The 14696-nt window shown below is 37.7% G+C and overlaps 1 long non-coding RNA gene across 2 annotated transcripts in view, besides 1 other annotated feature; it reads left to right on the top strand.

The window, feature by feature from the left end:
- Positions 1 to 14696, top strand: part of ZFPM2-AS1 (ZFPM2 antisense RNA 1) — a 280094-nt gene that overhangs the window by 162885 nt on the left and 102513 nt on the right. The gene's annotated exons all lie outside the window — the stretch shown is intronic.
- Positions 10769 to 11295: an enhancer, noted in NCBI's record as "H3K4me1 hESC enhancer chr8:106898552-106899078 (GRCh37/hg19 assembly coordinates)". NCBI's record gives its function as "activates a minimal SCP1, AML or CMV promoter by ChIP-STARR-seq in naive H9 embryonic stem cells {active_cell/tissue: H9 hESC(naive)}" and the evidence as "EXISTENCE:reporter gene assay evidence [ECO:0000049][PMID:30033119]".

Here is a 14696-nt window from a genome sequence, read left to right as displayed (position 1 = left end):
AGCTTGAGCACTGTGCTGGGAGATCTGCTGCTCTCTTAAGAACTGACAGGCAGGAATGTTTAAGTCAGCTGAAGCTGTGCCCACAGCCGCCCCTTCCCCCAGGTGCTCTGTCCCAGGGAGATGGGAGTTTTATCTATAAGCCCCTGACTGGGGTTCCTGCCTTTCTTTCAGAGATGCCCTTCTCAGAGAGGAGGAATGTAGAAAGGCTGTCTGGCTACAGTGGCTTTGATAAGCTGCCGTGGACTCTGCCCAGTTTGAACTTCTCAGTGGCTTTGTTTACACTGTGAGGGGAAAATCGCCTACTCAAGCCTCAGCAATGGTGGATTCCCCTCCCCCCACCAAATGAATGTCCCAGGTCGACTTCAGACCGCTGTGATGGCAGTGAGAATTTCAAGCCAGTGGATCTTAGCTTGCTGGGCTCCCTGGGGTTGCTATCCATTGAGGTAGACAATTTGGCTCCCTGGCTTCTGCCCCCTTTCCAGGGGAGTGAATGGTTCTGTCTTGCTGGCATTCCAGGTGCCACTGGGGTATGAAAAAAAACTCCTGCAGCTAGCTTGGTGTCTGCCCAAACAGCCACCCAGTTTTGTGCTTGAAACGCGGGGCCCTGGTGGTGTAGGCACCCAAATGAATCTCCTGTTCTTTGGTTTGTGAAGACCATGGGAAAAGCATAGTGTCTAGGCTGGGATGCTCTGTTCCTCATGGCACAGTCCCTCACGGCTTCTCTTGGCTAGGGGAGGGAGTTCATTGACCCCTTGCACTTCCTGGGTGAGGCGATGCCTCACCCTGCTTTGGCTTGCTCTCCATGGGCTGCACCCACTGTCTAGCCAGTCCCAGTGAGATGAACCGGGTACCTCTGTTGGAAATGCAGAAATCACCTGCATTCTGCGTTGATCTTACTGGGAGCTGCATACCGGAGCTGTTCCTATTCGGCCATCTTGCCAGCCACCCATCTAGTTTTGTTTTTTCTCTTTTTTAAATTTTTTTAGATGTAGTCTTGCTCTGTTGCCAAGGCTGGAGTTCAGTGGCGTGATTTTGGCTTACTGCAACCTCTGCCTCCCAGGTTCAAGCAATTCTCCTGCCTCAGCCTCCTGAGTAGCTGGGATTACAGGCATCTGCCACCACGCCTGGCTAATTTTTGTGTTTTTATTAGAGATGGGGTTTCATCATGTTGGCCAGTCTGGTCTTGAACTCCTGATCTCAGGTGATTCACTTGCCTCAACCCCCCAAAGTGCTGGAATTACAGGTGTGAGCCATCACGCCTGGCTGTTTTTCATTTTGTAAAAGATGGTTAAAAATTCATGACGGGGCTCCTGAAATAAGGCATCAAGCAGTAAGCTCTAAGCATAGATGTTTGAGAAACAGCAGCAGTCAGGCGTGCATTCATGATGGGGGAAGCACCTCTGAGCAAAGGTACGGGTGGTCAGGACTCCACGGGGCAGAGAGATAGGAAGCAGCAGGCTCTTTGGTCACATATTTTCAGGTAATGCATCTGAGAACTCCCATGCATTAATACAGAAACTTGGCTTAGAGGGACGAGGGCCAAGAATGAGCATAAAGATTCTTTATGCTTCCTAAAATAAGACCCTGAAAATAGCACAATACACTAAAAGCCTATTAATATAATTTTTCATATGTATGTTACAATTAATTCTATTTACTACCTCTTACTAGCTTTTAAAGGTTTTTTATTGTTGTTAGAGATAAGATGCATAAGAAAAAAGACACTTTTTAATATTTAGGGCTGGTCCTCTAGACACAATCCTGATGCCATTCTGGTCTTACACCTGGGAATGGGGCTGCAAAATGGAAATCTCCCAGAGAAGGAAAGAGAGTTTGCAATGAGCTATCCTGGGAAGGAGCCCTCCAGCAGGGCTTGTTTCCTGCCAGGAGCAAGTTCATATCAGCTGAAAGAGGCTAGAGATGAACTGTCAGATGTGGCCACTGAGGGTAGTAGCCATAAATAGTTATATCCACGCATGCCAAAAGAAACGAGATCCCCAGCAAGGGGAATTTTTTTTTTTTTTTTTGGCAGAAAAGTAATTGAGAAAAAGGAAATGGCATTTGGATGTCATCTGCCACAGCCCGGTGTTATTAAGGCGATACTACAACCATACCTCTCAAGTAAATACTTTTCAGAGTCTTACGTTTTCTCCTTTCCTCTTCTAACTCTGGAGAAACCAAAGGCTTCATACTGGATTGGGAAAGAAGGGACAAGAGGTTTTAAATTACATGAAATTGAAGTTTTCATATTGGATCAGAGTTTTTTAAATATTGAAATAATTTTAGACTTACAGAAAAGTTATGAAAATAGTACAATTTCCATGTAACTTTCACCCAGGTTGCCCTCATGTTAACATCTTATGTAACTGCTGTACAACTACAAAAATTAAGAAATTACATTTGTAAAATACTATTGCCCAGACTAAAGAATGCAACTGGATGTCACCAGTAATTTCACTAATGTCCTTTTACTGTTCCAAGTTCCAACCCACATTGCATTTGGTATTCACATGCCCCTAGTCTCCTCCAATCTATGATCATCTTTCCTTAATTTCTCCTTGTTTTTCACGACCTTGACACTTTGAAAGAGTCCTGGGCAGTTACTTTGTAGAATATCTCAGTTTCAGTTTGCTGAAGTTTTCTCAAGATTGGATTGGGGGCTTGTATTTTGGCAAGAATACAAGAGAACTGATGTACTTTTCTCATTGCAGAATATCAAGAGGTTTATAACCCTGATGTCTTATTACTGGTGATGTTAACAATAAAAACTTGGTTAAAGTGATGCCTTCAGGGCTAATTCATTATAAGGTTACTACTTTTCCCTTGTAATTAATAAATAGCTTGAGGGAGACCCCTTGAGGCCATGCAAATATCCTTTTTTTTTCTTCAAACTTTTATCCGCTAATGTTGGCATCCTGCCTTCACCAATTATTACTATAATGTAGTACTGATGATTTTCCACTTCCCACATTTCTTCTACATTTATTAATTGGTGTTCTTTTGTAATGAAGAGATGTCCCTTCTACATTTATTTATTCAATTATTTATATCAGTAAGAACTCATGAATATTTATTAAATTCTACAAGTTGTAATCCAATACTATCAAAAATTGTTTTAGCTTTTGACCATTGGAAACGCTTTCAGGTGCGCTTCTCTTTTGCAACATTTAAATGTCGCCATTTTTGGGGGTTCTTTGCATTTATTTTACTCTTTGTACCACAAGATGTTTCAAGTTAATCTTGTTTTTTTCCTGCCCCAAAATAGAAATTGGCCACTTCAAGGAGCATGTTTTTCTGTTCAGAATCCAATCCAGTATCCGACATCTCATTGAATCTTCATGTCTAAAACTAGTTTGGTTCCCTTATTTTTCTAGAATGATATATAATAACCGAAATCTGGGTGCTAGATGTGTTTATTGCTACTGGAGTGAATGGTGACTCCAGGTATTCTCAGTGACAGAGCTTGGAAATACATGTAATATGTGTGTAAATAGCAACCCATTCATACACACATACAAATACCTGTTTTCTTATCTGTACATATACACACAAACACTACACACTCATGCATGCATGAATGGATATATGATGATTGTAAGTTCATATTGATACTTCTGATTACAATCAAATATCTCTTGGTTCATTCTAGCCTACTCTTTCCTGGGTCTTATTTGTAAATCTTAAAGTTGAAAAACCTGGCTCTTGTTATACACAATTTACATATTTATGAGATCTAGTATAAAAATAAAGTAGTTTCAAAATTAGTACATCATATCCCTGTGAGATACAAGTGTCCTAACAAGGTATGTCTTTATATTTGAGTATGTTGTTTTCTGTCTTTAGCCTGATGGTATCCAGTTAAAATACTCTTTTCCAAAATAATTTAGGCTAATTATTTTCTCCCTATTCCATTTAGTATGGTTGTTATTCATTTTTAATACATTAGATTCAGTTATTACAAGTCATATTCATCGTGGTTTCCCCCACATATTGTTGTTGATTTTTAAAAAATTTGCACATATTAAAATTTACTTTTTGTGATGGATAGTTCTATGGGATTTGATATATGCAATGAATTGTATATTTATCACAGAAGTCATGTAGTTAACAAACCTTTTCACACCAAACTCCTGTCAACCATTGATCTATTTTTCCTCCCAATAGCTTTGCCTTCTCTAGAATGACATACAAGCAATGCCATACAATGTGCAGTCTTTTGACTATAACTTCTTAAATTTTGCAAAATGCATTTTATTATTTTATCCATTTTTTAACTGCTAAATAGTATTTTGCATTACATTATGTGGATGTGACACAGTTTGTTTATGCATTAACCAACTGAATAATATTCAAGTTCTTTCAAAATTTTGGCAAATATGAATAAATCTACTATAATCATTTGTATACGGATTTTTGTATAAGGTTTTATTTCACTTGCTTAAATACCTACAAGGGGAATTGCTGACGTGGTAAGTATATTTGTAACTTCATAGAAAAAACAATCTATAAAAAATAGTAAATAAAATAAAATAAAATAATAAAAAATAAAAAAATAGTATTCTACACTATTGTACCATTTTGCACTCTGACCAATATAGGCAAGTTCCAGTTGCTCTGCATCCTCACCAGCACTTAAAATTTAATTTTTTAAGCCATTGCAAAAGATTTGCAAAGGGTATCTCATTATGGTTTTAAATTATTTTCCCGTAAAAGTGACTAATATTTCCCCAGTGATGTTGAGTATCTTTTCACATACCTCTTTGGATTTCTATAGCTTCTTTGATGATGTATCTGTTCTCATCATCCATCTTTTTCAGTTGAGTTTTTTCCTTTTTTAAATTTTTGTATTATTCTTAACTATTAGGTTGGTGCAAAAGTAATTGCGTTTTTTGCCATGACATTTAATGGCTAAAACTTCAATTACCAATAACACATAATAATTGACGTGTTTGTACAATTTCATTTTAATGAACACGTAATAATTATACATATGCAGGAGCGTGAAATGTTTGAATATATATATGGTGTAATAATCAAATCAGGGTACTTAGCATTTCCATCCTCTTAAACATTCATCGTTTTGAATGTGAGAACATTCAATATCCTCTATTCTCGCTATTTTTAAATATGCCATACAACATCATTAACTATAATCAGTCTTCTCCATAATAGCACACCAGAACTTTTTCCTTGTATCAAACTGGGACCTTGTACCCATTAACCAATCTTTTCTCAACCCCTTCTTCCTCCCTTCCCCAGCCTCTGGTAACCACTCTCCTACTCTATTTCTATGAGATCACCCTTTTTAGATTCAGCACATGAGTGATATCATGTGGTATTTGTCTTTCTGTGCCTGGCTCACTTCAGGTAACATAATGTTCTCCAGGTTCAGTCATGTTGCCACAAATGCCAAAATTTCATTCTTTGTATGGTTGAATAGTATTCCAATGTGTATAGATAACCAACTTTTCTTTATCCATTTATTAGTTGATGGACTCTTGGTTTGATTCCATAGCTTGGCTATTGTGGACAGTGCTGCAGTAAACATGAGGGTGCAGATATCTCTTCAACAATCCAATTTTATTTCTTTTGGATTGGATATATACCCACTAGTGGTATTGCTGGATCACATGGTAGTTCTATTTGTAATGTTATGAGGAACCCCCATACTGTTTTTCGTAGTAGCTGTACTGATTTTCATTCCCACCAACAGCATATGAGTTTCCCTCCCTCTTTCTTCATATCTTCACCAATATTTATCTTTTGTTGTTTTGATAATCAACATTCTAAATGGGGTGAGGTAATATATAATTATGGTTTTGATTTACATCTTTCTAATGATTAATGATGTTAACTGCCTCTTTTTATTTATTTATTCATTTATTTTGAGACAGGGTCTCACTCTGTAGCCCAGGCTGGAGTGCAGTGGTGTGATCATGGCTCACCGCATCCTCGACTTCCCAGGCTCAAGCCATCGTCCCACTTTAGCCTCCAAGAAGCTGGGACTAATGGTGGATGCCACCACACCTGGCTACTTTTTGTATTTTTTGAAGACAGGATTTTGTCATGTTGCCCAGGCTGGTGTTGAACTCCTGGGCTCAAGAGATCCACCCACTTTGGCTTCCCAATGTTAACCATCTTTTTATGTATCTATCGGCCGTTTGTATGGCTTATTTTGAGAGATGTCTATTTAGATCTTTTGCTCATTTTAAAAATCAGATTGTTTGCCTTTTCCTTGAGTTATTCGAGTTCCTTACATATTCTGCATATTAATCCTTGTGCTATTAATCAGATGTGTAGTTTGCAAATATTTTCTTCCATTCTGTGGGTTTTTGTCTTTACTTTATTGATTGTTTTCTTCACTATGCAGAAGCTTTTTAGTTTAATGAAATCCCATCTATCTTTTTTTGCTTTTGAGTTCTTGTCTAAAAACTCTTGTCCAGACAATATCATGGAGCATTTTCCCTATACTTTCGTCTAGCAGTTTTATAGTTTCTGGTTTTACATTTAAGTCTTTAATCCATTTTGACTTGATATTTGTATATGGTGAGAAATAGGGGTGTAGTCTCATTCTTCTATACGTGGATATCCAGTTTTCCGAACACCTTTAGTTGAAAGGACTGTCTTTTCCCCAATGTGCGTTCTTAGTGCTTTTGCCAAAAATCAGTCAGCTGTAAGTATGAGGGTTTATTTCTAAGTTCTTTATGTGTTTATTTTTATGCCAATATTGTGCTGTTTTACTTACTATAGCTTTGTAGTATATTTTGAAGTGAGGTAGTATGATACTTCAACATTTTTTCTTTTCCTTCAAGATCATTTTGGCTATTAAGGGTATTTTGTGGCTCCATACAAATTTTAGGACTTTTTAATGTTTTAATGAAGTATGTCATTAGTATATTATTTGTTTACTTATTGCTACATTTCAATAATTTTTTTTGGAGTGGGGACAGGGTCTCCATTTGTCACCTGGACTGGAGTGCCATGGTGTGATTATGGCTCACTGCAGCCTTGACTTCCTGGGCTCTAGCAACCCTCCAGCCTCAGCTTCCTGAGTGGCTGGGACAACAGACATGTGCCACCACACCCAGCTAATTTTTTGTGTGTATTTTTTGTAGAGACCAGGTTTCGCTATGTTGCCCTGGCTAGTCTCAAATTTGTGGGCTCAAACAATCCTCCTGCCTGGGCCTCCCAAAAGTGCTGAGATGACAGGCATGAGCCACCATGTTGGCCTAAGAATTCTTGATATGTTTTCTGGTTAAAAGTTCTCCGCAAAAATGTGATTTGCAAATACTTTCTTCCAATATATAGCTTGTCTTTCCATTCTCTTAAAAGGGTCTCTTGTATAATAAATATTTTAACTTATACTAAAGTCCGATTTATCTTTTTTTTCCTCTCATACATCATGCTTCAGGTGTTATATTTAAAACTCTTTGCCTAGTCAAAGTCATAAGTATTTTATCCTCTAATTTTTAACAGAAGGTTTCTGGTGTTAGGTTTTATATTTAGATCTTTAATTCATTTTAAGTATATTTTTATATATTAATGTCATGCAAGGTATGGATCCAAGTTTTCTGTTTTTTGTTTTTCTACATATGGATGTCCAATTGTTCAGTAGTATTTATTGAAAAGACTACACTTTCTCTATTGATTACCCATGCACTGTTATAAAAAATCAGTTGAATATCCTTATGGGGGTATTTTTCTAGGCCTATTCTGTTTCATTGATCGGTGTCTATATTTTCACCAATACCAAGCTGTCTTGATTACAGTAGCTTTATAGTAATGCTCAAAGTTATTGATCACCAGGGAAATGCAAATAAAGACCATAATGAGGTACCATTCATTCACCATAATGGCTAAGACTGAAAAAACTGAATGCCACATGCAAGAAAGTGTGTAGAGCAGTCAGAACTCTCACACGTTATTGTTGGTTTCATAAAAGGTGCTGTCACATTGGAAAACAATCTGGCAGTTTCTTCTCAGACTAATCACATACATTTTCTATCCCAGTAATTCCAGTTCTAGGTATTTAGTCAATGGAAATGAAAGTATACATCTACAAAAATCTTGCAAAAGACTGTTTATTGCCACTTTTTCCCATAATAAGCCCACACTGAACACAGCTTGAGGTTTCTCAATAGATAGTCAAATGGGAGAATTAACTCTAATATTTCATTTCTTAAAAGGATATATACTTACATTAAATGTCTAATTAAAGTAGATATATAAAATTTGATTTAGAAATATATAATTAAGTCATGTTAATTTGTTAAAAATACAAAAAATTTAAAAAGACAAAATTAAAAATTACTGATCATCTTTGTCTAATATTGCATTGAATGGCCCAGTGATCAAGTATGTGAGCTGCAGAGTCATATTGGGTTTGAATTCTGGTCTTTCCACCTACTGGTTTTGTGATTTCAGACACATTTTGTTTCACTTCTCCAAGTCTCAGGTTTCCACATCTAAAGTGAAGTTAGTCCTACCTGCCCAGTAGAGTTGCTGTGCAGATTCGATGAACAACCATGTGGAGTGCTGAGTACACTGCCTAGAGCACAGTAAATTTGTTTGGCATCAATATACATAGTTGAATCATAGGATATTAATCTTATACGAGTCTTTTAAGGTTGTATGTTGCTTGCAAGTTTGCTTAGATGATGATCTCATTTTTAGAAAGCTAATTCTACAATGTAAAATAATGTAATCAATTTATACTCTCTTTGAGGTAATTTTTGTTTAATAAATTCACCTGGGACAATTTTCACCACAAAAAGGAATTTCATAGGTGAGCTGAATTCATTTCGTAAAATCCTTTTACTTTTCAAACTGTTAAACAAAAATATCCTGTGTCTCTGGAGTTTTGTAGGAATCAGTAGTGGGATAGTTGTCCTGCATCCATTAATGCTCTTCCACCTTGGCCTGAGCGATAGACGAAGGACAACCTACCCTAGAGGAGTCAAGCACAGAATCAAGCACATTCCTCATGGTGCTCCCCATTGTGGTTGCCTCCCCTAAAGGTACTATTTTATGCTTTTGGTAAAAGAAGCCAGCTCTTTCAAGGGAGGAAAAAAGATTTGGCAAAACTCAAAAGATCTCAAAAAACTATACTTGGGAGTTGTGTCACCATAAGGTCCCAAAGCCCAGCAGTGGGGCTGCATTTGGGAAGAGGGTGGCTGGTGCTTCCAGTCTATGCAATCACTTACCCTCCTCTAAGTAAATCCACAAAGTTTTACAGCATTGTTATCACTTTGGGAATTCTGTATGAAACCCTTGTAGGATAATTTTATGGATTACTGGAAAATGTAACAATGGGCAAACATTACTTTCACAATCAGAAAATAAAGCAAATGTATCTTTATCATGGGAAAAAAACAATTTTTCTTTAAAAGCCATTTGGAGGCTGATCCATTGTTTTATTTCAGTATTTTGAAATTTATTTTTCATGGTCTCCCTTTTCCCTGTTAATTATTAAATTGTCTATTGGAATATTAACCCTTCTAAGCTTCATCTATAATGTCTTCATCTATAATATCTATAAAATGAGGAAAATAAGGTCACTTTAAGGTCAACAAAAAGTACTTCAAGAGTTCTCAGAAAAGGGCAACAGTAGCCATTTCCCACTGCGTATCTAGTGAGTCTACTATGTTCATACTTAGACATAGAAGTGACATTTTATATCTGACAGGAGAAATAAGATGAGATCATTTTTATAGTCTACCTAGAATGATGAAACAATATTTGACATCTTTTATTTTACTGATAAATATATTATTCATGGAAAGAACTTAAAAAATGTAGGCCAAATGCTTACATATTTTATTTTCTGCTTCCAAAGATATTTTATTTCTTTTTCTTGAGGAAACAATCTTTAGGAATTTTTCTTTGATGTTACCTGGTACAGTGTTGCATTTCCTGGGAAAGCATTGGGGTAGTAAAACCTGGGGTATCTAGAAGGTTTGCCTGGAATAAGCAGCACTGATACACACAGAATACGGACACTTTGTTGGTGGTGACTGCTAGCTCTGTTCTGTTTGTTTGTGTTGATATTGACCAGGTTAGTAACCATTTCAATCACTTTATTCCTTGTAGAGTTTGGAACTAGAGGGGCTTCCACCTTGGCATGGTATGCTAGTGATCCTCTCTTGCTATTTTGCTCCAGTAGCCTGTTAAAGGGAATTGCTGCGAGGTCTGTGCGCTTGGCTTCCTCCCATGGCTCTTTTTCTGTGATTAGATTCTGTACCATTTCCCATTGTTCATGGAAGCCTGTGTGAAAGAAAGGAATCCCAGGTCACCTAGTCAAACTGTGCAAAGTAAAGCAAGGGCCACTCTTTGTTTTGGTGTTCAGTTTTCTCAGTTTTTGCAAATGAGTAGTGCTATCTCATGGTGGCTTTAATTTGTGTTTACCTGGTGACTAGGGAACATTGTTTTGTTTTCATAGTCCTAATCCACCAGTGCATATCCATGAATTCATGTTGATAAGAAGAACAACATATTACTTTTTGACTCTTTCCTCTATTTGTTTATGTCACAGGATATTTGGGGATGTCACTTCATCAGCTAGAAATCTCTGTGGCCAGTGACGCCTTTGCCTGAGTTTTTACTTGGGCCTGCCGGGCTCGTTCTGCCCACTCAGCCTGGCAGGCTGTGCTCTGCTCGTGGTACCAGCCCGAATCTCACGCCTGCCAAGGACGAGCCAGGCACGGAGCATTGAGGGGTGTGTGAGCGAACAAATGTGGGGTCCGGCCACTGCGCACAGCCAGGCACACCAGCTGTGGCAGGGTGGGCAGCTCCAGCCGCTGATATGGGCTCTGGCTCCCTGTGAGGCTGCGGCTGGACCACTTGTACCGCAAGCAGCTTCCATGGCTGGCACTCCATGGAGCATGCAACCCCGGCCGCACCTCCCACTGCAGCCAGCATCATGGCAGCAGCTGCTCCAGACGGGCTGCGGCTGCCATCATTTATGCCATACTTCAAAGCCCTGAAAAGCTCCTTTTGCCCAAGTTTTAGCATGCATATCCATTAGAGAATTGTCTACATCACTTTAGATCAGCTCCCTTGCAGAGACGGTACCACTGCTGCAGCCTCCAGCGGACATTGTTGCCTCTGTGCAACTGCCATGCATCTTGAGCTCTGCTCTTGTTCCGGCTGGGTATTGCTGCATCTTCTTGGAAGCACAGATCCTTTTTCTGGATACTGTTTCACCAGATGGACGCCAGCTCTGTCACCTTCTAATAACAATTACTGAAGTCTCCGATTGGGCACGTCACTGATGCACTGAGCCCTCGAGGTGCAAAACTGAAAGACTGCCTGAAAACAAGGGAGGGGAAAGCCACTTTCCCCTTTTCTCTTACAGTTTTTGATGGGAGTCCCAAGGCAGAGTTGTATGTGCATGTGTTGTACATTGCCTTCAAGTTTACTAGCATTTTAATTCTGTTCTTGCTTCCTGTTCACTTAGAGTTCCATCCCCTTTACAAAGAGATCTTTTGCTACCCTATCCCATGAATTTTCTGGACATCCTCTGGCATGTGTTAAGAATAGTTAGGTCCAGATTATGCCATCTGCTCCAAAAATATACTTTCAAATTGGTAGCGATTACCTGAGATATACTTTATTATATGCAAATGAGTCTGCTTTTATAAAAAGATTCATTCTTAAGGTGTAGTGGAGATGGGAAGGTCAAGGGATAGAAGGTTGCAGAGTGAGAAAAGAAATCAGAAATAAGCAGCTGTTTTCCTCTGACACCCACACAATGATGAATGTGTATCATGATGTCTCCTTTGCTTCTTCAGTGACTCACCCCTGCCTGGTATGGGATTCAGAAAGGCCCACAAGAGCTAGCTGCCTGGCTTACACAGTAAGTTAGGTATATACTTTATAACTCTGATTATTTCTCCTGCAGTAGCTCAAGGGCTCAGAGATCAGAGTAAACCTTCTTCAGTTGATACCAGCTCTACACTGGTTCAACCCAGCTAAGTTGCTTTTAAATTTCGTATTTCTCACATTGTCACAGAACTGCAAATCCTCCACAGGGGCCAGGTGTGGGTGAGCTGACCTAAGCTATACCTTGAGCGATTCACCGAAGCAGTCCGCTGAGGTCACCCTTAACCTTGGTTTCCCGCACAATCATTCAGAGCGCTCCCAGAGAGCTAAAGAAAAGCTATAGTTAGATTTTTTCATTTAAAATTTGGCACTGCCTGAAGTCATTCCCATTCCTTCCAAGGACTGTTGCCATTATATTAAAAAGAGTAAATTTGCTGCTGCATTACTTACTGCCCAGAAAATCCAGCTGAAACCTGCTACTGCCAAATCTGCAGTTTCAGTGCAAGGCCAGAGAGTTTAAATAGCTCCTGCTAGTGAGGATTTTCTGCTCTCTAGAAAAAAAAAAGTTGATAAAGCCTCAGTTTGAAGGATTGGACATGGACTATTAGAAACAGAAAATGGTTGTCCCATCTCTCTCAATTTCTGACTGTCCTATTTGCATAATTCTTAAACGTAAAATCTCCTAAGAGATGTGGTGCTCCGTGTCTTTGATCAGTCAGGGAATTTAACTTTACTTACATTTTACGATAGTCCCTCAAGTTCTTCTTTACAGGCCCATTCTCCACACCTAAATGTTTATGTTTCTAGGATCCTAAGTATACAAAGCTATTTAAAAATTAACACGAAAGACAGAGGAAAGAGCAGTAAAAGAATGAAAGTTTTTTTCTCAGAAGGTCTCCACATAGGGTCATGATCTCCTTCTGGGATTTAATTAAATTTTATTTTCTTATTTCATAGCCCTGCAAACAAAAAAGCAGGAAGATATGGACGTGCTTTTTTTTTGTTTTGTTTTCATTCTTTTAGCTCCAAATTACCTTGGACATAAACTTTTCCAGAAGATGGCTATGTAATGTGAGGAGTTGCAGGGAAAATAAAAAATTAATAAGAAAAACCTTATTTTCATACAAGTGCAATTTTTTGGAAAGAAGTTTAAAATTTTGTAGTTAGTAGGATATTACCATCTTCTTAAAATATATTCAGAGAATCAAATACGACAACTGATTGTCTAGTCTGATCACAAATTAGGAGCTACATTTGGAGCTATGGAAATCACATCTTAATTCTCTACTATTTTGGTTGGATGATCCCAAACACCTAAGAATTATGGACTCCCACATCCTGACATAGGCTATCACATTTATAAGGAACTCTGTTAAAATGTTCAGGGCAACTCCATCCTTCCTGATGTTCCTTCTACCCAGAAGTTTTATTTAATTTCTGGAGGCCATACAGAACACATTTAACCCTTTTCCACAAGAGATTACTTAAAGACTATGTTCATTCCTTCCTGAGAATATTGTGGCATCTTAGATAAATATTGTATAGCTCAATGAGTCATATGCCATAGCTTGCGTATTTCTTTTTTAGGTGTGCTTTGCCTGGTCTGTTTTTTTTAGGACTGTCATTGGCCTCCTGGAGACTCTTTAGCAGGGAAGCAGACAGCTAGCATGCCTGGAAATTTATTCCCCAAGGCCAGGAACTTTGAGCCAAGAGTACTAATGGGGAAGTTTGAAAACCTGATTCCCTTGCCTCTGTTCTGGACAACTTTGAGGTGTATCTTCCATTTGAGAGGTTTCCTGTAGAATCAGGTTGACACAGAATTATGCCCTGCTTGGCTTTTTCTCCTCCCCTGCCCTGCTTCAGGGCAATCTTTCTCCAACTACTTCCTTAAAAAACCACTTTTATATAAGTCCTCATTTCTGAGTCTGTTTCTTGGTACTTAAGACAATGTATCTTCCTCTTAGTGTTTTGCAGTCAAAGCAAACATTATTTCATGAATGGTCTTATCAGTATACAGTAAAATAGAAACAACTTCTAGTTTATTCTAGGCACTGTATTCCTACTGGCATAGCCTATGTTTGAATTCTACGTTTAGTCAACCATACCATACCATGGATTGCTATTACTGCCAATCAAACCCCTAACAGGATTTTCTGCATGGGCTATTAAAAAAGTAGAACCCCTTCAGTAGGCCTGAAGTTATAAAGAATATAGTACTTATATTTTGTTTTTGCTTTCGTAACTCTTAACAATTATTGAGTTTACTAATATGGAAATATGCAATTATATTAGTCATAGTCAGACTTCCAGTTCTGAACATATTGTAGATTTAATAAGTCAAAAACTCTTCCACAACACATAGATTTGCTAGACAAAATGCTGCAAACAAAATCTTTTTTTTGCTTTTTAGTATTTTATTTTTCAAGAGGTAATATATTTGCATGGTATAACCATAAGATGCAAAAAAGTATTTATGATGAACTCTTTCCCCAATCTCGGTGTGCAGTGGCTCTGCTTTCTTACACAGAAATCATAAAAATCACCAGCTCATCATGTAAGTTGCTGAAGCTATGAGATATATATCATATATGTGATATATATAAATTATAGGATATTTAAGTATAATAAATATTTTTATGTATAATATATAAAAGAAATATATATTTCATATATATTTATATATGATATATATCATATATCACATATATTTATATATTATATATCATATATGATATATATCATATATCACATATGTTTATATATGATATATCATGTATGATATATATCTTATATCACATATGTTTATATATGATATGTATCTTATATCATATATATTTGTATACTATATATCATGTAAGATATATTTTATATGATTG

Source organism: Homo sapiens, chromosome 8 (genome assembly GCF_000001405.40).
Source record: "Homo sapiens chromosome 8, GRCh38.p14 Primary Assembly".
Taxonomy (NCBI): domain Eukaryota; kingdom Metazoa; phylum Chordata; class Mammalia; order Primates; family Hominidae; genus Homo; species Homo sapiens.
This window is presented reverse-complemented; position numbering and strand designations above follow the sequence as displayed.